Here is a 22,896-nt window from a genome sequence, read left to right on the forward strand (position 1 = left end):
AATGTCCTTGCTCTTAGCATCTCTCTTTCCTTACTTCCTTACACCCCCATTTGTTATGAAAAGAATGAGGACTTCTTCCTCCCCATTTTTGTGATACCCAGGGATTTTCTACAGATGGAAATATTTAACATTCTCCAGAAGCTCAAGGGCAGGCTTCAAGTTAGCACAGCTATACCTGGATTCTGATGTGGAGACAAATTGCTACTTCATTATAGAACCAGTGAGAAGCATCCAATTTTGAAGGCTGTTAAATTTGCAAGGGCAGCAAAGAACCAAATGAATATAAAATGCAGAATGGCCTCACACAGGCACAGCATCTTATCTTAGAGGCAAAAGAGAAGCGCGCAACCCCTCATGCCCTGGAAAGATGTTTTATGACAGTAAAAATAGTTGGGGTAAGTCTATGCTATTTAGATATGATAAGCAAGACATGAAATGTCAGTAATTCTGTTTCTTTTCCTAAGGCAAGAGATGCCAAGGAGTCAGCCACCATTTTGAGAGAATCTCTGAACACCTGTCACCTGTGCAGACCTCTCTGTAAAGCTTAGAGACAGAGACTCCCTTAGTCTCTAAATACTACCACCCACTGGCCCACTCACCTACAGTGCTGCTATTGATCAATATGCAGTCAACAGATGTCTGGTCTTGCAAGGCAGGAGGAACAATCGCCCAGTTGCCTGGGGAACCACGGACTTCCATGGAAGTCTCGCAGGATCCGCTGCAGGGCCAGTAACAACAGAGACTGCAAGCTCAGGTGGCCTCAGCTCTTGCCCCTTTTTGTGGATTTCTGAGCTATCTGGGGAAGTCAGCAACCACTTTAGTGCCTTTACCTGCTGCTGTGGGAAGAAGCCTTACATACTGTACAGTCAGTTGACTTCTGAGGAAGAGACTCCTCATATCTATCAATTCTCACTCCTTACCTCACCAGGGCACTTTTACAGCAGACTTCATCAAAACTTCCATGTAAAAATGGCCTCCAAATAGAACTCAAAGTAAGAATACCTGGGCTAGGTTTCAACTCAGGGTGAAATCTGGTGCACAGAAACCCTTAAAATTGCTATAGAATTTTGCAAACGTTGAGCTTAAATAAAAAGGAGATGATGTTACAGCAGTACAAGATGATATGAATATTACAGCTGAATTCTGAAATTGGGGGCTCACACACTGATCCCCACCACTCATTTCCAAGTGGTTTCTGTCTCCTGCTTGGGAGGGCTTTCAGCTCCCGTGCCCAGCCCTGCTACCTGTGGAAGCCACAGGGCCGTCCTGTGTTGGGCACAACACAAGAAACCCTGTGGCTCACAAAGCCTCTGACTCATCCGTTATGGGGGAAGGGGGCTTTGTTACATTCTCTGTTTTCCATCAGCTTAGCTCCTGTTTCTACAGAATCAAAAGATGACTGCCAGAGGAAAAGGAGTTTGTTTTCTTCCATTGAATGCAATTGTTTCAATGACAGCCTGTGAGTGCTGCAATCTTGCAGGCCTCAGACACTTAATTCATCTCAGAGGTGATATCAAAAACAGCACAGCAGGCACTTACCCGCCACTGGCTCTCTTGCTACAAAAGCAAGCACCTGTTTCATCATCCTGGGCCCTGGTGACTGACCCAGGTGGGCGATGCCATATTGACTGGGGCGGGGTGAAGGGATGTGCCACAGCTGTCTGGGATACCATGCTGCAGACGAAAGGGAATTAAGGTGGAGGGGGTGTGCTGGCCAGCTCTGAGGCTCTGCTGCCTTGTTCCTGAGCTTTAGCTTTGCCTTCCTCTCCTATAAAGAGGGCCAACAGCGAAACTGCCCACCACTGGCCCTTCCGGCCAGCCAATGTGCTGCAGACTACTCTGCACTGGACTTACCACAAAAAGGCTCAGAAGGCAACATTTGCCACTCTGTTAGGGCTGAAGTCTCTAGGGCGGGTTGAAATGATGGAGAGAAAGCTCAAAAAGGTGCCTCATTCTAGCCTGCCAAAGAGAAAATTGGAATTTCCCCAACCATCCCTATAATCTTTGGTTTGATAGAGATAGCTCTGGAAAGGAGTGTGTCTGCTAGGGAAAAGCTTTGCCCACGCACCAGGAACTGGCCTGGCCAGCAGTGTGAGGAATCCTGTGTATCCTCCACATGTGAGACTTAAAGCTGGGAAGAGATGTTCAAAGAGCTGGCTTTTCTCAAGACAGGGGTTGCTAATTTCTTTCTCAAATAAATCTGAGATTCTTCCCATCATCCCTGTTCCTGTTGTCCCTGCCCAGGTGCAAGGACTGAGCGTGTCCAGCTGACAATGTTCCTATTGTCTCTCACCTGGTGAGACCCACCTGTCACACCAGCATCAGGATACATTTCAAAATACAACTTTTATCTCCTACTCCCGCATTAAGCTATTAATACAACTCTACTCGATTATCTGTTTATCTGTGATGTGCTTCCACTCTTATCAGCAAAATATGATTTTATTATTAATAAAAATGACTATTGAGTTCTTTAATATATGCTAGGCATTTCATTATAACTTTGCATTGTATTAATTCACACAATTCCCATAACAGCCTTCTGAATTAGGTGTTATTACCTTCTCCAATTTAAAGATGAAAAAGCTTGAGACTCAGAGGTTATGGAATTTGCCAAGGTCACACAGCTAGTGAGTGTGGGAGCCATGATTTGAAACCGGGGTTTGTTCCCATAGCCCATGCTCTTAGCCACTCACCTCTCCACGTGGCAGGGAGGGCTGCCCACTGTTTCCCCCAAACACAGTCTTTTCACTATAGCTTCCTCTGAGCCAAGGAAGCTTCCATTCTACCCAGGCCAGCCTCATCATGGTCTAGTAAAACAAACGATGCTCAGATTTACCCTTTCTTCCATCTGGCCTGCTCTGCCTTCCCCTTCTTTGAATCTTAGCCACTCCTCAAAAGCCGGCTGAAGTCCAGCCCGCTGCTCTGCAGTGGTCTCTAGAGGGCCAAGCCTACCCTTGTCTCCTGGACCTCATGGCACATAATCACACATCACTGTGTGCTGGGCTCCTGTTGTTCTAGGTCCATGACCTACCTTGTTATGAAAGACTATGAGTCATTTCAGAGAGACAAAAGTGTAATTTTATTTTGTAGCCCTCGTAGAATCTTGCCAATACTCAGAACATAACAAAAGCCCAATTGAATTAGATCAGCATAGTACATGGCTCCTGAGAACATCGCAACCCCCAAGTCTCACAAAAATCCTGTAAAAGAAAATGAACAAGTTGGCCATAGTCTCCTGTGCCTTTAGTGCCACACCACACTGACTCAAACCATGCATCTCTGCTTTCTGGAATCTTTGGTGCCCCATTTGTATCTAGAAAAAAAATGTTTCCTTTTCTAACTCTGAAGAATATGCAGCTGTGCCACTAAATGCTGCCTTTGTCTACATGGCAGTGAGAACTCTGTGGATTGCAGTAGGACATCACCTCTGACCCTGCTGCCCCTGGGCCTTGTCTGAAGGCACTGGTCTCTGAGTGTACAAGAAATAGAACCTTGGAATCAACTTCCAGGCTCCAAAGAGTGTCCTTTGACTCTCCGGGTAATCCGGCAGTATGCAGTGGAATGCTGACCAGTTGTGATTAGAAATGCACTTCCCAGTTTCAACACCAGCCTATTCATCTTAGAGTAGGTGTGGAATCGATGGCAAAGTGGTAGACTCAAAAGACTGTTCCACCTTGAATTCATCTACAGTCTTTCAAGCCTGTACTTTTCCCCACCTCCTCTTTTTATTAATAGCTGATCCCTATATAACTATTCTAGCCCACAAATTAACACCGTGTGTGTGTATAAAAGCTTGTATATTTCCCTCTACCTGTTCTTTATATTAATAGCTGATCTCTATATAACTACTCTAGCCCACAAATTAAGACTCTCTCTGTGTGTGTGTGTGTGTGTGTGTGTGTGTGTGTGTGTGTGTAAGAGCTTTTACATTTCCCTCTACCTCTTCTTTTTATTAATAGCCATTCTCGGTATAACTACTTTAGCCCGTGAATTAAGAATGTGTATGTGTGTGTGTGTGTGCTAGGTAGAGAGAGGCTTAAGTGTATGTATAAGAAAATGTATAATTCCTAAGCACCTGTTTCTGTGACGAAGGGGGAAAAATAATGAAATTAAAGGCTTTTGTAATTGCTGCTCCCTCTATCAAGAATAGTCTTCTCTGCAAGGGCCACATAGCTCCTGTTCTCCTTCTTGCCTGTCTCTGTTGAATACCAGTGTTAAAAAGATGCGACCCTGACACTTCCTGCAAATTAGCACTCCCATCACTGCCTATCCCCCTTCTTCTCTTCTTCTTCACAGCACAGATACCTGACACTAGGTGTGTATTTATTAACTCATAGCTCTGTCCTCATGCACACACCCAGCTGCGAGCTTCTTGTGGGACTCTGTCAATTCCATTCATTCCTGAATCCCCCATACCTAGAACCCTGCCTGCCTGTACATCATGGGTGCTCAATAAATAGTCAACCAAAAAATGTTAAGCATATGGGTGAATTCTAATGAACAAAAAATGAAAAAAGGTCTTGATCTAATTCCAGTTCAATATTAGCAAACTCTGGAACTTCAAAATAGGACTTAATTTCTGTGAGTCTCAGCCTTCTCATGTGTCAAATGAGGTGCCTCGACCAGATAGACAACTTATTCCTGGACATTTCTAAGTTTCCTTGAGTCGCCTTGACATGGACAAGTGATGCAGGAGCTCCTACCCTTTGACTGACTTTCAGGTGCCCTTGGGTGATGCTGTTTTCCCTCCACCCATGAAGTCAAGGTGAAAACACAATGCTCAGCTGAATACCCTACAGGAAGATTTGCCTGGGTGCATGCTTGTAGGCAATCCCAAAATGTTTCCTTTTGTTTTGCAGGAGGAAGAGAAATCAGTCTCCCTTAAAATGCTTTTGCAGCAGTTGGCCTGGCACAGTGGCTCACGCCTGTAATCCCAGCACTTTGGGAGGCCAAGGCAGGTGGATCACCTGAGGTCAGGAGTTCAAGACCACCCTGGCCAACATGGCAAAACCCCATCTCTACTAAAACTACAAAAATTAGCCGGGCTTAGTGGTGGCACCTGTAATCCCAGCTACTCGGGAGGCTGAGGCAGGAGAATAGCTTGAACTTGGGAGGTGGAGGTTGCAGTGAGCCGAGATCGCGCCATTGCACTCCAGCCTGGGCGAAAGAATAAGACTCCATTTTGGGGAAAAAAAAAAGCCTTTGCAGCATTACTCCTGTGAATCGGAACCAGGAATTAATAACATCGAGCCTGAAGGAACAGCACTCTTTCTTGAGTCCCACAGAGGAGGACTCGACAGAAGTTGTCTGAACTCTGTTTAGGGAGAAAGCAAAATGTGTTTCTAGGGGAGGCAGGAAGACAGCTTTGAGGCTTCCATGTGATATCTCCCGGCTAGGCATTAGCTTCCTCAGTCATCAGAACTAATCATGGCAGTTTTGCAGTGCTCCTTTCAACCATCCCTAGAGGCCTCCATCTTTCAGAGACTCCCAGGGGGAAGAGAACTAACACACTAGAAATAGCTGTGCTTTTGACGTAAAGCACACTAGCAAACAGGGCTAAGATGGATCACAATGCCAAGCATGACCATCACTCCATGAGCACAGGAAACACCGCGCCCCGCACTCATGGTTATGCAACGCAACAACTTGATAGAGTGCCGCTGTCTCTGTACTAGAAATCGAAGGCGATCTGCTCCTACCTGTACATAGAGCAGGGAAAATCACTTTCAACTCATTGAGAGGCTTCAACAGCAGAAAGATTGATCAAAGTGATGAGGAGCAAATCTCCCTGCCGCCTACTGATGCCAGACACATAAACAAGGCGGGCTGCAAGTCATCCCTCCAGAGGGACCCGTGCGGAGGTTGGGTGGAATATGTGTGACTAGTGAAGCGTGTGAAGAGGGAGGGCGAAGAGTGGCAGTCTACAGGCAGCGGACAGCTCCAGTCTCCTGCCCTGTGTTTGCAAAAACAGAAGACTCAGGTGGAGTCTCCTGCAGCTGAGCTGGCCCAGGCTCAGGACAATGCTGGCTTCCGAGAAGGCCGTTTGGGACATAGAGGGAGCAAGAACCTGGAGCTAAATTTGGTCTGGAGCAGACTCTCATGGTACCTTAGGCCTTCATGGAGACTTTGCTGAGAATTACTCATTTTGGAGACTCATGAGGAAGAGGTGATAGATTTCTTTTCTTTGGAAACAGGGTCTTGCTTTAACACCCACACTGCAGTGCAGTGGCACAATCATAGCTCGCTGCAACCTTTGAACATCTCCCTACATTTTTTAAATTTTTATAGAGATGGAGTTTCACCCAGGCTGGCCTTGACCTCCTAGCCTCAAACAATCCTCCCAGCTGGGCCTCCCAAATCACTGGGATTACAGGCATGAGCCACTGTGACACACCATGATGGATTTCTGAAAGCCACCATTACAAGAGAGTAACAAAGTCCAAGTTCTCTCCAGCAAGGTTCAGGATGGTCTTAAGAGAGAGAGAAGTGGCATGCTCATGGTGTAGTCACCCGCCCCTAATCACTCCGTGACTCGGGGGTTCTTTGTGTTGCCCATCCTCACAGGGCCTACGTCACTCTTTAACTATGGGGCTGACACTTGTCATCTTTCCATCTACCCATGTCACTCCCAAATCTCCCTCATTAGATAAAAAATTAATTTTGTTAATTAAAGCAATGGAAATCAATTAACCTTATCAGGCAACATGGCCTACTGAAACAGAGCCAAGCCTTATATTGCAATTTCCTTCTGCCTGAGATCAGAGATAGAACCACACAATTTGACTCTCAGAGGGGGCGTTTTCAACCCTGGGAGTGAGAGGGAACTTTTTTTCTCTAGGGTTAGAGAAGGTTCTAAACTATTCACAACCAGGTTATTTACTTCAACACAATGAGCATTAGAATTACATTTTACCAACATCTAAAGATTCCATTAATTTCTTTTCAGCTGTCTACCTAGCACTGTAATGGATTTAATACCAATCATGGATACTTAAAATAAAATTCAATCACTTTACAAATGGGAAAAAAGAGGCCTGACACAGGGTGGCTTGTGGGTTTCTCCCTTCTCTTCTCCTGTACCACATCTTCCCAAAATAGCCTAAAATTTTATCCCTTTTATAAATATCTCTGTACAATTTAAACACAGTCATTATTTTACTTTAAAAAAAGCGCTATAAATGCAAAGGCTGAAGTCTCCTCCGCAAAGTCCCTGCAGTTTTCTCAGTTTATTCTGAACTAATTGCCAGAGCAGCCTGTGATGAAATCCCTAATAGCCTTTATGATGAAAGATTAAACCCTGCGAGGAAACACATTGACAAGGTGCGCTGCAGACTCTCCACTCCCACCCACTTATGTGGTGTAGGGTGAGTGCCCTCTCCATTCGTCATAATCCATCGGGCAATCAGCGTGCTCCCTCCCTAACTTCCGGTTTAGTCACACTCACACAATAGCAGCCCTCACTCCTGCTAGAATAAGGGACACGATCTGGCCGCCCCAGGTGGTATTTCTCCAGCTGAGTCACTGTTGAATAAATGAACCCACTGACAGTCTCTCTGAGCTTAGCCCTGAGAGCCAATGCTGTCTTTGCGAAAAGGGTGCATTACCTACTGCTATAGTCCTGGCACGGCTTCCCTCCTTAACCTACTCTTGGCTACCTAATGTTCAGAATTACCTTTCTCTGACACACTGAACATTTTACCCCACTGCCCCTCTCCCAGCCAAATTGGACAAATCCTGTTGCGTTCTGACATTCAAGACACTCCTTCCCTCCCATCTTACGGCATCACACCCTTGCTTCCCCTGTGCATTACAAACTGCTGCTCACTCTTCTTCCTTCACATGTGGCATGCTGGCCATGGCTCCTGCACCAAAAACAACTCAAGGAGCCCCACCTCCTACTTCTCTCTTTTTGAGAACCCCCCACACTTCTATCTCTTGCTGTATCTAAATGTGACACTCTGCATTTCAAAAATTACAGAAAAATAGGGGTTTGCTTGTCATTTTCTTTAATGAAAGTATGAAAGAGAAGACCTAGCTAAAAGTAAAACCATAAAATGATGCCACCTCCATCATGACAACCCCTGCCTCAGCACCTGGAGACATGGTGTGTGTCCTCTTTCCCTGAAAATAATGTACCTTCCTGGGAATTGGGACACCTCTTAGGAGCTTGCAAAGAGACACAGTTAACAAGTGAGGAGGACTTGCTAGCCACGTCACATGCGGAGATTCCCTCAAACACATCAGTGATTACAGCCTTAGGCTCTTCCTTACCATCACCCTCTGCGTGACTTCCATTACCTCTCTTTAAAATCAATCCCGACCATCACATTGATCTCAAATCATATACACCAGCCCCCCTATATCAAGCACAGAGGCCTAAAGTAACACTCTCATTCCTGGAAACAGTAAAATATCAAGCAGTGCTGCCATCGCATCAAAGCCAGGTCTGTTTTAAAGAATTCAGGATTTCTTGATACAAAAAAATCTCAGGATAGGAAGAGATCTATGGGAAAGTATTCCCACTAGGTGTTCAAAGGGTAGAAACAAAAATTACTTTAAAAATGTGGCAGAGGCAGCAGCCAAATGTATTTAGAAAAACCTGGATTAAGCTAAATTAAATGAATTTACTTACTGCTTTTAATATGAATCATGCATCTCGAGGAATAAACACAATGTGTATATTTCCCAAACATATTTATCTTGCCACCCATCCTTTGTACTGAATAATCTTACGGCAGTAATGTTCCATGAAACACACTGCACTAGAATCATCTAGCCTAGTCTTTCATTAAATGCTAGATTCCTGTTCACAACATCACACTTGGGCTTCCCCTTGTTTGTCTTCACTGTCAGAGAACGTATTGCTTGTGCCATTTTCCTACCACAATGTTCTTTTTTTGCACTAAACCAAGATGTGCTGCTTTGTAACTTCCTTCTGGTACTTTTGGATTTGACTAGGGCCGTAGAGAGCAAATTTAATCGATCTTCAGATCCGTGAAGAAAGAGCTCTTCTGGTTCTTCTAGTGGTATCTTCTAGGCTCAAGCCCACCCAGGCCTTCATTAATTGCTCTGATGACATTTCACACTGTAACATTAGCCTGGTCCTTTCTGTCTGATACACTTCAATTCTCAATATTCCTCTTAAGGTGTGGTGGCTGCAATGAACACAGGCACTCTAGATTTCGTCTAATCAATAGAACCTAAAGCAGGACTATTACTTTCTTAGCTCTGGTCGCTAATACACCAATCAGAAGCCAGAAGATTTTACTAGAATAACCTAGAATTTTATCTGCATTAGTGTAGTTCTTCATCAAAGTTGAGGTTGTTTAGGTTTATCCAGATTGACAAGATTTTGTTATTTCTACAAAAATGATGACCTTAGTGTTAAGATCCTGATAATTTGGCATACACTCTTAATGAGAATTAGACTATGATTTAAATCCCCTTCACTATAATGGACTTTAGTTGTCAACGTTACCATTGTCCTGGGCAAGAGGTCGGAGTCCCTAATGGGAGTTAGCGAGTCTGGCTCAGATTCATTCCTCCTTCATCCCCAGGCAGTGCAGCATCCCTGAATGCCAAGCGGGATGCTCAAGTCAGCCAAATCCCTCCTGTCAAATAAGCTTCAGCATGTGAGAGGCAATTCCTGTTATTTTGCTGGGTAATTTTTGCTTTCAAAAGCAGAAGAGAGAACAGAGGCCAATATCGAGAGATGTGAATGCTACTAGGGGACTACAGAAGAATAGAAATGCAAATGCAAATTTTGAAATGTACCCTACTGAATAGTTCACTGAAAATATGAAGGCATATAGGAGGTAATGCAGTCACCAGGTGTCTGGTCTCTGCAGGACCACATCAGCTTTTAGAATAGCCAGCATAGATTAGACAGGCACTTGAAGCATATCCATTTTCAAGTAAGCTTTAAAGAAAATTCAAGACAAAATGGTGGCAGTGGAAAGAATGTGGAATTAGCCATCAGAAAACCTGGGTTCCAAGCCTCGTTTTACCACTTGTTTGATTAATTAATTTAACCTCTCTGAAAATTCATCTATATAATCAAACTTCTGGACTAGATGTTAGCTATGGGGTTTTCTGTGCATGTGTGTGTGTGTTTTGTTTTGTTTTGTTGTTTCTGTGTGAGTTTTTTGTTGTTTTGTTTTGATTTGATGCGGATCTTCTATAGTTCATTATAAAATTCCCTACTGAAGACTGACTTTCCTGACTCCCAATAGCCTTCAAAAAGGACAGTTTCACATTATCTTAAAAGGGTAATGAATGGTGTGCATAGTGTTTGAAATTGAGGGAGAGGATAAACAACTAAATTCCTGTATTATGTTAAGCACAAAGTTGCATTTTTATTTACTTTTTTGTTGGTGGTGCCAAAGAATGTATTGCTTATATCATTTTTCATTTGCTCTTCAAAACTTAGCCATAGGCTTGTGCCTTTGCTTCAGTTTTAAGCATCTTGTAAAGCACGTGTGGCCTGAGAGTGGCCTGTTGCTGCTACACCTCTCCAAGGTGTCTTCATGATGACTCTCCCTGGGAGCAGCCAGCACAAGTGCAGTTGTCCTCCCGGGAGCTGCAACTGGTTTGCCCTGACATGCGAGAATTAGAAAGATGGCCTTTTGGAGGTTATTAACATGATGGCATTGCCTTAGCCATCCCATAGAAAGATTGCAAGCCAGCAGGACTCCAAATTAAAATTATGTTCATTGGAAACCAACAGTAGGCTTGTAACAAAAGCAGCAAAACCATTAGAGATCACTCAAAGGCTCTTAGGGAAGTGTTTTTTTTCTCCTGTATCCAATATGGAATTTACTATCCACTGAGACAGGACAGAGTTTACAGATTTAGGTTGGCCTCTGAAATTAAGACTAAAGATGAAAACCAGGTGCTTCAAGAAGATGAAGATCCTGTCTGTATTTGGACATAGCAGCATGCTATTAATTTAATTTCTAAATAAGTGGAGGAATTTTCTTGACTCGGAAAGGAAAGCTCCTGCTGGCCAAATTCTCCTTCACCTGATGGAGCTAGAGTTGTGTATCATTCACTTCAGCAATAAATATACTTGGGGGTGAGATCAAGGATGAGACAAGAAAGAATGATCCTGAAATTGCCTGAATTTTATAATCCCAGTACATGCAGGCACCCATAAAAGATGATAGTGAGCTGAGAGGAAAGACAGAGGGGAATACTGAACAATAGTGTGGAGGATATGACAATCCATATCAAAAGCCAGATACATAAAGCTTGATGATATACCAAAAAATGCTACCCTGTTACATCTGACCCTTCAGCCAGTTGTATATGCATTCTATTAATCATTTGAAAAAAAGCTGTTCTTTCTCTGGGAGAGAGAAAGGGCTCAGGGCAGGAAAAGCAATAGAATTTGTCTTCTTTGATTACTCACTGTGACTAAAGTCTCTGTTATGAAATGTGTGTGCTCAATGACCATTCACTAAATGTTCCATGATTGTGATGAATAAGATCCACTGCAAACGAGAGCCATTGATTCACCAGAGCCCAGATGCCAATTGAATCTCATCTAGCATATCTCAGCTGTGAGCTGCTTGCGGGCAAGGACTGTGCCTAATTCATCTTTGAATCCCCCCAGCACCTAATGCAATGTCGTGCATCGAGCAGGTGCTGCGTAAATGTTTGATAGGGGAGATTGCTTTCCTGAATGAAGGGAGATGTTTGGTAACATAATCCATGTAGTAACTACAGGCAGACATTTAGAAAGGCTTACTCGGGTGCTGCCCAATCTGCAAGAGAGGAGCATACAGCCCCAGCCTCCCTCACTGATGCTGCTGAGAGAAGCCACTCACAAATAGAGGAGCAGGTAACTTCTGAAAGGCTGGGGGACTTTGGCACAAAGCTCTGAGACTTCGTGGCTTGCTGCAGCATTTAACAGGAATAACACTTCTTAGAAAATGCTATGCTAGAAGGTGATCTACGTGTACATCCAGATAAAGAAATTACAAATTCATTTAAGTTAGTATAAAGGCCGTGATACAAGAGAATGATAAGTCAAACCATGTCGAGGTGAGGTAGACCATGTGGGACAGACTTCATCGATATTTATACCGTAATTATGAAGCCCCTACCATGAGCAGTATGTAAAGATCAGGAAGACATGGCCTTGACATTTAAGGAATCTGCAGTCTGCTGGGAGAGGACCCTCACCACAGCTGAGACACAGGGGAGCAGAAGGATTCAGCGTGCAGGCCTGGGTGTGATCTAAGCTGTGTGTCATAGGGGTGCGGGGGCTTCGTCATGGGACCTGACTTTTCTGACTCCCTTTCTACAACCTAAAATCGCATTAATTGTATCTACTTCATACTGGCTGTATGTGGAGCCTTTAAGCAGTGCATGTGCATGGTAACCACTCAGTAACTCTGAGCTGTTATTTTTATGGGAGGATAACAGAACAAGGTCAAGACCAAGGGCATTCCCTGAGCCACACTTGGCTAAATATTTTACAGTTCTCTCTTGAGTATGGATTGGAAATGAAGACCATTCTCTCTGTACATTGTGCTATAAATATAATGATCTATACATTTATAGACTTAGCAATGCACAGTTTTGAGGGAGATGTTTAACTTTTTAAGTGCTAGTTGCTTAGATAGCATTGTGCTCATTCTCACCTCTTAATTTAATTCCTCAGGTATTGTGGGAAGTACCTGAACCAGGTAGTTCCATTTTAAAAACTGTAAATGGTATTGAGAAGTTTAGGTGAGCAGAAATCATCACAGGCTGCACTCAGCCGGGTCTATCCTGCATGGTGATACCCTATACTTCAAGTGGAGAGTGGGATCCGAGAAACAATAGGAATCCCTTCTTCTTCAGGGATATTGACCCATATCTCCATAATGTTTACAAAATCTGTTTAAGACACCTGAGCAACCATGAACACAGTGCCTTTCTTTCCTATAGACTTTGTTCTGTCTGTGGCCACATTCCCCACGGTGGATTTTCTTTCTGAAGATGAGGTGTGAGACAGGAAGAACACAGCTGTGCTTTCAGATCCCAGACGGAAATAGTGGGACATGCTAAACCATCAGAAAAAAAAATATTTTGACTTATGCACAGAGCATATTTTCTTTAGAAGCTATCAGGGAGAAAGAGCAATTTTTCTACATGAAATTCCATTTCTTCCCTGTACCCTGGCCTCCTTTTAAAAATCAACTTTTCATTGAAACACTAGTGGACTGGACACAGGTCAATGGTCTGTTCTGCTCAGCGTTGGAACAGATATGAAGCAGTGAATACCATCGCGGGCTGCAGAGGAGCCCACAGAGCCTTCCTGTCCTTTTAATTCCACGATGGTCTGGATAGAAAAGCCAACCTGCTGTTTTGATGACTTAATTTCTTTTTCTCAGTCACTGCAGCAATGATGCCTCTAAAAGGGACAGCCCCCTTTTCTGTGGAACCAACTGCATTGGAATTCTGCTAAATGGCACTAAATGTCTTCGAAATCAAAAGGAGAATATAATTTAAGTGCCACTGGGATCTTCCCACAGTTTCTCTGTACCCACACGCTAGAACACTGCCTGGTGACAGGTCTATAGTTTAGGGTAACACACAGTGGGGAAAAAATGATGGTTTTTCAACCATGTATTTCAAGAAATTGACAATTTTAATAGCACACTCTTAATGGAGAATCATCCAGACTTTCTTCCCTGCTTGAAGTTGAAAACATCAGTAAGATGTGAGAAAGCAAGGTATTTGTAAAGAAATTAGCATCTATCTTCCTCCCAGAAATGGAGATCCCAATGTGAAGACAGAATAATAGCATGGGAATGTCACCCCCACCAAAATATGAGCTGAGTTTAGAGATCCCAAATGGGAATGGGAAGAAAATCACACTTTTCTCTCTGAACTATTGTTTTTACATGAAATAGCACATACTCTCTATATAGTGTGTGGCCAAGAGTACCATTGTTTTACCTTAAGGAGAAGCAAGCAAATGAATGTAGATTAGACAAAAATTGCAAAACAAAAACATTTCTTTAATGACAATTGAATGAGTACCTCCTATGTACTAGGCATACACACTTGATGACAGGCAGCTTCTTCTCTCTGGGAACTCACATCTCAGTGAACATTTCCAACATATGATCAATGCACACAGCACTATCTGGAAACTGTGTGATGGCTCACACAGAGGTATAAGGCATAGAGAGTTGGACGGCAGGCCAATGCAGAAAGGTGGAAGGGCTGTGAATGCACATGAGGAAGGAGTGGGGTTTTAATGAAACTTCCTATGTCTCTATCTCCATAAAATTAAAATAGGAGTATACCTCTCAGGTCAATAGAAGGAATAACTTCTTGATAATGAAAGCTGTTAAGATGGACTGAGTTACAAAGCAGGACCACAAAATTGGCTTTCCCGCGATTTGCCACGGTTATTTTAGGAACAGCAAATGGCCTTTCAAAATCTTGTCAATATCTAGTTTTTGTGGTCTGGGGCTAAGTGTAATTAGGAGTGGATTGAGAAAAGTGTTTTCTATATTCTCCATCTCTCTCCTTTCTCATGTCCCATTCCCTTATCAAGTCACTACAATTGAGCTTTCAACTCCATCCATTCCAACACAACTGCAGTTATCAAGGTCATCAATGACTCAATCTTACCAAATTGCCAAAAGTCATTTCATCTTCCCACTGTATTTCTCTCTTCTCAGTAACAACAACAAGAAATAAACCCCAAAACATACTTGCCTCTCCACGCTTCTGTGACACCAAACTGCATTTACTTGCTTGTTAATTGTTAGGTCATTGCTACTTCTGGGTCACCTAAGCCTCTCCTTCTCTTTCTGACCTCTAAAAGAAGGGCTACCCCAGGATTCTAGCCTAGGTCTTCCAGTCTCCTGTTTGCACACTCTGTCCTAGGAGGGTCTCAAGAAATCCCATGGTTTTAAATGCCATTTGTAACCCGGTTATTTCCAAACCTATATCCTTAACCCAGTTCACTTTCCTGAACACAAAATTCATTCAAATGCACACTTGAATCCAACAGGCTTCTCATACTTCACACACACACACACACGTACACATGAATGGAATTTCATGCCATGCCATACCCCCCACACAAACAACTTTCAACCTTGAGATGCTTCAGTCTTAGCAAACGACACTACCATCCAGCCAGCTGATTGGGCCTAAAGCCAGCAAGCATCTTGACTTTTTCTGTTTTTCCCTCTTATCTTATATTCAATCCAAAGACCATCTCAACTCTTCATTTCCTGCTATTTTCATTGCTGCCCCCACAGGTTTTGCAACTGTTTCTCAATTGGGTTATTGCAATAGCCTTCTAACTTACTTTCCTATTTATGCTCCTTCTCCCCTGTAATCAATTCTTCAACTATCACCGAGGGGAATCTCAACACTTAAATCAGACCATTTCACTCTAATGGCTAAAGCCTTCAGGACTTACTATATACTTAGAATAAACTTCAGGCTTCTTACCATGCCTACAATGCCTTGGCTAATCTGGTTTATACCAATTTAGGTACCCCGTTTCCTGAAGCTTTCCCATTGTCACCAGGTTTCCACCTGACTGGCCTTATTTCTCACCCCCTGAAGCAAGCAGTGCTTGCTGCCATCCTTGCCTTTTGTACCTGACCTCTTCTTGGCCGGGAATGCTCTTTCCTGGATCATGAAGTAGTTGTTTTCTTCTCACACTAGCCCTCAGTGAGCCTTCTCTGAATGCCTGTGCTGAAGTACCTCAAACGCACCATCAGCAACTTTTTGTATCACTCCTCTATTTCACAGAAGAAATCTACGTATGTATTTTGCATTATTATGTCTTTCACTTCAATATAAATGGAGAATCAGTAAGGATGTAAATAGGGAATCTTTCTGAGGATAAGGACTTAACTCTTTTATTGCTATATCCTTGTACTTACTACAGCGTATGGTGTAGTAGATGCTTAAAAACTATTGAATGAATAAATGAACTAATGAACAAATGAATGAATGAGGTTTCTTTGAACACAAGGGGAATGAGAGCTAGACTAGTAAAAATCGCTGTTTTCATTTCTATTTCTAAAAATAATATTTTTCAAGGGCTGAGACTACTTAACACTGAAGCATTAGACTTGGAATCAGCAGGAATAGGTTCAAATCAAACTTCATGACCTTGGGACAATTACAAACTCTTTGTGCTTCTGTTTCCTCACCTGCTAAATAAGCCTAAGAATTCTTACCATTACCATGGAGATAATGATACATTAAATTAGGTAATTGCAAAGTCTCTAACATACGACAGGTGCCCAATAAATGTCGCAGTTATAGGCTGTATGTCTAAATATCTATTTCCATATTAAAATTTTTTCAAAGGTTAAAGGTTTCATTCTCTTCCTTAGAATTTGCCTCAGAATCACACCTATCCAAAGCATCCTTCCTTTGCCCTGTAAGCCCCTATTTTGTTGTTGTTGTTGTTGTTGTTTGAGATACAGTCTCACCCTATTGCCCAGCTTGGAGTGCAGTGGTGTGATCTCGGCTCACTACAGCCTCTGCCTCCCAGGTTCAAACAATTCTCTGGCCTCAGCCTCCCAAGTAGCTGGGACTACATGCACCACACCTGGCTAATTTTTGTATTTTTAGTAGAGATGGGGTTTCACTGTGTTGGCCAGGCTGGTCTTAAACTCCTGACCTCAGGTGATCCACCCTCCTTGGCCTCCTAATGTGCTTGGATTACAGGCATGAGCCACCGTGACCAGCCTGTAAGCCCCTGTTTTGGCCAGTCATCTTTAGGGATGAGGGGGAGCATCTGGCTTGACTGCATATTTTAAGTGCTTGGTCTCCATGTTGATGGGGGCCACAGAAACAGATGATGGGAAAGGAATCAGTCTGTTCAAAGCCTCTGGTCCCTTCTCTCTAAGGAAATCAGTAAGCTCACTGTCATCTGCTCTGCCACCACTGTCTAACTGGTAAGATCCTCACTTGGCAGGCAGGAGCCTGCTCTCTACTTCCAGCCACTCTGCCACCATGCCAGATTCTTCCTAGATTGACTTTATCCCAGAGCATCATGGGGATGTAAGCTTTTGGACGATGTAGATAAAACAAAATCAGAGGCTTTATGCCTGCTGTTCCATCAACTTTCCAGGAAGGAGCTCAGCTATATGAAGTTTACCCTTCCAGTGGGCACAGTGACTTAGATGACATCAAAAAAAGAAAAAATATATATCCCTTTTATCACATTTCTGTCCATTTATTTTAGGCTATGGAAGCAGATTGTCTTTCTCTTTTCCCACATTTTTTTTGCCTCTAGGGCTGCTATTCTATCAAAGTAAGGTGTGAGCAAATCCTCTCTATACTAAAGCCTAAAACCCATTTTTAAGTCTATCTGTGCTATGCTTTTCTAGTGTTCCAGATTTAAGTCTGCAGAATCAAAGGGCGTTTATAAAAAACCTAAGTAGCTATTTATGTCCTATTTTGTGCTGATGCCATTCACCAACCGGTTGATGGTGGTGGTGATGATGCTGGTGCTGGTGGTGATGGTGGTGATAATGGTGATAGTGGTGGTGGTAGTGGTGGTGATAGTGATGGTGGTGCTGGTGGTGGTGACGTGTTGGTAGTGGTGGTGGTGGTGATGATGGTGGTGGTAGTGATGGTGATGATGATTAAAGGAAGAAGAAAAATACGAATCAATGCATACTGAATGCTTACTATAAAATGTTATCTTTACAACAACCCTATAAAGGAGATATTATCCCCATTATACAGATTCAATACAGAGGCAGAGAGAAATTCTGTAACTTGCTTAACTAGCAGGTGGTAATATTTCAATCCAAGTGGTCTAAAGCCAGAATTTTGTTAACCAACAGATTATTTTAACTTTGGTCCACTTTTATAAGTACCTCTACTTTCGCATTTAGTAACTGGAAGTAATAACAGCTGTCATCTCTCATTTGCAGTATTTTCTGTGTACTCAATATTTTGAGTGTTATGAGAGAAAGATGCTTAGTAAATACTGAAAAGTTATTTGATTTCAACATATTCTTTTAAATCCAGGATCAGTTGTTGCAAAGTAACACAGCATGCATATTTACAGAAGGAAAGGTATTCAGTTCAAGAAATTGGCTTTTCAAATGCCTTAGCAATAAAAATGACATTACATGCCTACAGAATGTGAAATTGTAGAAAGATAAGTTCTCCTCAAATAAGTTGTAAAAAGTACATAAACTTTTAGGCATCTGTAAAGAAAACTGAAAACAATCCCAACTGAGGTTAGAGAGGACAAGGATGGAATAAAAAGAAAATGACTAGCTACTAGGTGCACAAACGTCTTACTAATCTCTTGATTCCATTTACCTACAAGAAAAAGGTCATAAGGTTTAGTCTGCCTAACAAAGGTAATATGTGTTTAATACAAGGTTAAGGGCTTTCAGTTAACTGACTAAGAGGAGAGTTCTACAAATTTGAAGTCGATGCCAATGACTTTTCAAATTAAATGTAATAGCAGCTGCCCACATGGAATAGATTTGGAAGCCTCAGTCCATTTTCTAATTGACTGAACAAAACGAGGTCTCTGTTGCAGCTCATCCTCCTAGCACTTCCTGTTTCTCAGTTCCAAGGTAACTGTTAATGGAATTAACCAATTTTCACAACATGTCCTGAGTCATAATACAAGTCTATAAGGCAGAAAGCTGAGAGCACTGGGTTGAGAATCAAAGATCCAGGATTGTTAATTTAAGTCATCCATGAACTAAATCTGTGACCACAAATGAGAGTTACAGAAAAAGAGATTTGGAAAAAAACTTCTAGGTCATTCAGAGCAAAACTAGCACTTAACAGATACAGGGCTGTGATCCTGGGGAAGTATTCAGCCTAAGAACTCCTACTATGTCGGTGGCACAGCTGGGCCCTGAAGGTGGGTTCTCTTCTCCCAACCCTCAGCCCAGTGCCCTTCCTACTGCACTGCATGATTTCAGTCATCGCTTCAGCTCTAGGAGTCCAAGAAATAATTCCAGTGGTTCAATCTGCCATCCTAAAACCAAGATGGTAGCTGATATAGGGGTCTTAAGTAGGTACCTCTCAGTCATTTAAAATAGATTTCAGTCAAATCCAGAATAGGTCCCTAAAGGTTATAGAACTATGCAGTTGCAGCGAGCAAGGTCTGCAGTTCACAGGGTCTCTGTCTGTGCAGAGGGAACCATGTTCCTAACAGCCGTGCTAATCAGCTCCTTTTTCTGGTAGCATTAGAAGGACAGAGGGATTTAAATAGAGTGGGCATTCAGAATAACCTAGGTGATTTTTCCAGCAAGTAGAGAAAAATCTCTAAAGGCTTCAAGACATTGGTGAGAGGACAGGTTGAATTGTAGAACCAGGCAAAAAATAAGTAATTAAGAATGACAGAAAATGATTTCCAGTAAGCTGGAATCTCTCTTCCCAATGCTATCTTAAAAATATTTTATAGCATGATTCTTTAGGCAGCTATCTCTCTCTCTCTCACCACCACTAAATTTACATTATTAAAAAATATAATCAGAGGGCTTTAAAGTGCCCAGGTTGGAACATAGAACTAACATCCGATTATAGGTGAAGGATGTTTTCTATTTTGTGATTATGTTCCGCAGTTTATGCTCTGAGCTGCTGAGATTCTGAATCTAACAAATAGTTTTGTTGCAACAAGTTTCTATTGCACATTTAAATAGAAGAAATGAGCTGGAGTTCCTTTTCACTATTGCCTCTCCACAATCGGGGTTAGACCTGCCTCTCTAGTTCTCTGACCGTGTGAGAAAGTAGGAGCCAGAGGGTTGTCAGGCGCCTTGTCACCATGTGGACAGAGGATCCCATCAGCTCTTCCTCTCCCTCTTTGCTTTTCCCTTGTTTAACTTGAGCCAATTAAGCCCTGTACTATCATTAATTGTTGAACTGGCACTTTTAGACTTGAGAAAACCCATCTAGCAATCACCTATAAATTAGCCTTCAGCCCCTCTAAATAGCTTTAATTAAAGTCATGGCTGGCATGGAACCTGTCCAGGTTTTGTCTGTGGTTACAAATTCACGGTGTCACAGGTGTGGCAGGAACAGGACATATATTAATTCTGGAACCTCAGAGTCTCATCCAGGTCAAGTTCAGATTTTTTAAAAGCGCGTGTCCATGCAAACCATTCACTGGACAGGCTTAGCTGACAGTTTATCTCCAAGGACTTTTCTGCAGAAGGAATCAAGACAAACTTCCTTGTCATCTTAGGAGCTGACTCTTTCAAAACTAGACAACTAGCTAATCCCACTCAAGACCAAGGGCACCCTATGTCCATACAGAGATGTACTGAGAAAGTAGGTTATATACTTGAATTGTCATTCAACCGTTTGCTCTAGGACACAGGTAGAAACTCATGGCCACTTCTCGCAGTGCTCCTAGAACCAGCTCAGACTGGAGACCCTAAAAAATAACTGTTATGTATTCTACACTACCCCAGGCATGGTCGTTGTTAGGAAACAACCATCTCAGGTGGATCACTTAAGAGAGTATAGCCTAATAAGTAAGAGGCATGGACATACACTTTGACCAGGGTTCAAACCTGATTCTCCTTCTTAGTAGCTGCCCAACTCTGGGAAAGACACTTAACTTTATGTAGTTAATAACCCATGTCTCCCTAGGGTTGTGCTGAGAATTAACAGAATATGTGGAACGTACATGGCACTATGTTTGACATAAACATGTGGATGATAAGCTACAGCTCTGTAAAAAGGGCATGTGTTGGGAAAACGTTTATCTGCAGCAGTTCTTGGCAACAGCTCACATGTGGGCTTGAAGACACTGCTGAATTTGCTACCAAATCTTCAGAGTACCATCTTATCACTCCTTTTTAATCTAGTCTTCTCAAATCTCATCTTTTTATTCTTTGACAAGAAAATCAAGAATGTCCAGTGAGGGCCCATAATTCTTCAAAAAATAATAAAAATGTGTCCACACCCTAAATTAGCTGCTGTGATGATTCTGAGGAAGAATTTTCCTCCTCCTTTTCAAAGGATAAAGATTCTGCTGTGAAGCCTACACTTCCCTGTCTTCTCTAGGATTGATCTTCTCATCAAATTTAGTGAGTGTTTAGCACCTTCTTTGTACTTCCTCCTTTCCTGCCAGGCTACTAGCACATTCAAATCCCTTCAAAACAACCATCACAATCGTAACTACATGAGAGCCTTGCCTTTATGTTCTCTCCACTCTCCACTGTCCCCAGCCAACCTCCCGGGGAAGTCATCTGCACCCATGACTTCCCTTCCTCAGGCCTACCCCACTGCACACCATAGACACTCCAGTGCGAGGGCCCCTCCAGTCTTCCCCCAGCCTTTCCAAAGGCATTCTGATCTCAGCTAACAGCAATATCGTCTTCATAGTTGGCCCATGTGGAAACATTCTACTTTCCCTTCTTCATTCTCCAATGGGTGAATTGAATGAGTGAGCAATGAATGAACTGATGAAAATGTTTATCATTTAATCTATCTCTGTACTCCACAACATGCTGTTTTCCAGATCTCTTTATTGCACTGTCTTGTCATCACTTGTATTGTTGGTTTTGTTTCCCCTAGTGAACTATAAGTTCCAGAAGGGCAGGGATTCTATTTTGTATTCACAGCACTTATGGTGGGCTCTGACTAGATACTTGATAACATAAATCTAACATCTCAGCAACCAAAGCATGCCATGATCTTCACCCCAACTATTGCCTTGACATAGGGCTTCATCATCATGCCTGTGCTATTGGACAAGCCAATTATTTCTTCGTCGTCATTTAGATGATTCATTTATTCAACAAATATCTATTGAGCCCCCTTTTGTGGTGGGCCTTTTTCAAGGTACTGGAAAAAAATAGAGAAACTTGCTGTTTTCATGTGGCTAGCAGTGTAGTTGACAGAGGTACAAGGATGCAAATAAACTCTTTGTTCTCATGTGGCTCACAGTGTAATTGAGAGAGGTACAAATTGGGCAGTGCTAGGGCTCTGAGGATGAGACAGTGGGGTAAGCACACACAGGCTGACGGGCAGTGCTATTTCCAAAAGATGCTCAGGAAAGCCCTGCCTGACTCGCTGGCATTTGAGCAGAGCCCTGAATGGGGGGAAGGCGTGTTCCTTCTAGAAACCTGCTGGAGGTGTTCCCCCCACCCCCGACCAGTGGAGGGAATAACAAGAACAACGGTGCTGAAGCAGGTGTCTGATGGGTTTACAGAGACCAGCGTGGCTGGGCTGCAGGGTATGAGTATGTGTGTAGGTGGGGGGACCAGGGGTGATAGGAGATGAGGGATGATTTGGGGGAGGGGGCCTACTGATTGTGGCAAAAACTTTGTTGTTTATTCTGAATTATAGGAGAAGCCATCAGAGGAATTTGAAAAGAGAACTTAACTTACGGTCCCCAGACACAGCTCTGATCACCTTCCTCCTATATTAAAGTGTTTGATTCGCTTGCTATTCCCTATAAAATAAACTCCAAATGCTTTTGCTTGACATATAAATTCCTCTGAGATCCAGGCTTTTGGGTTTCTCACCCCCACTTCCTCATCTTCGTTTATTCTCCAGCCGTACTCATCAATGTCTATGTCTGTGGCTGCTGAGCTGATGCAAAATATTCCCTCTGTCAGGGGTACCTTTCCATTCTTTTTTGTAATTGTTCACATTCATGAGGATGCCATATCCTAATGATGTTGTCTTGGAAGTGAAAAAGCCCTGCAGCATATCACTGATGACTATATATGACTAGTGCTGACATCAGTGAGCGTTTATTTAGCATCTACTATGTGTCAGGTACTCCGCAGAGCAATTTTTATTAAATACTTGAAAAAGTTCTTCGAGGCAGAGTCACCAAAGTCCCCACCCTTATTTGACCGATGAGAAAACAGAGGATCAGATACATTAAATCAGTTCCCAATTTAATACATTAAATAA

At 42.7% G+C, this 22,896-nt stretch overlaps 1 protein-coding gene across 3 annotated transcripts in view, besides 1 other annotated feature; it reads right to left on the reverse strand.

The window, feature by feature from the left end:
• Positions 1-22,896, reverse strand: part of OPCML (opioid binding protein/cell adhesion molecule like) — a 1,117,521-nt gene that overhangs the window by 921,750 nt on the left and 172,875 nt on the right. The window lies entirely within an intron of this gene.
• Positions 1,119-1,629: an enhancer, noted in NCBI's record as "H3K27ac-H3K4me1 hESC enhancer chr11:133207744-133208254 (GRCh37/hg19 assembly coordinates)". NCBI's record gives its function as "activates a minimal SCP1, AML or CMV promoter by ChIP-STARR-seq in naive H9 embryonic stem cells {active_cell/tissue: H9 hESC(naive)}" and the evidence as "EXISTENCE:reporter gene assay evidence [ECO:0000049][PMID:30033119]".

This window comes from Homo sapiens, chromosome 11, assembly GCF_000001405.40.
Source record: "Homo sapiens chromosome 11, GRCh38.p14 Primary Assembly".
NCBI classification, from domain to species: Eukaryota; Metazoa; Chordata; class Mammalia; order Primates; family Hominidae; genus Homo; species Homo sapiens.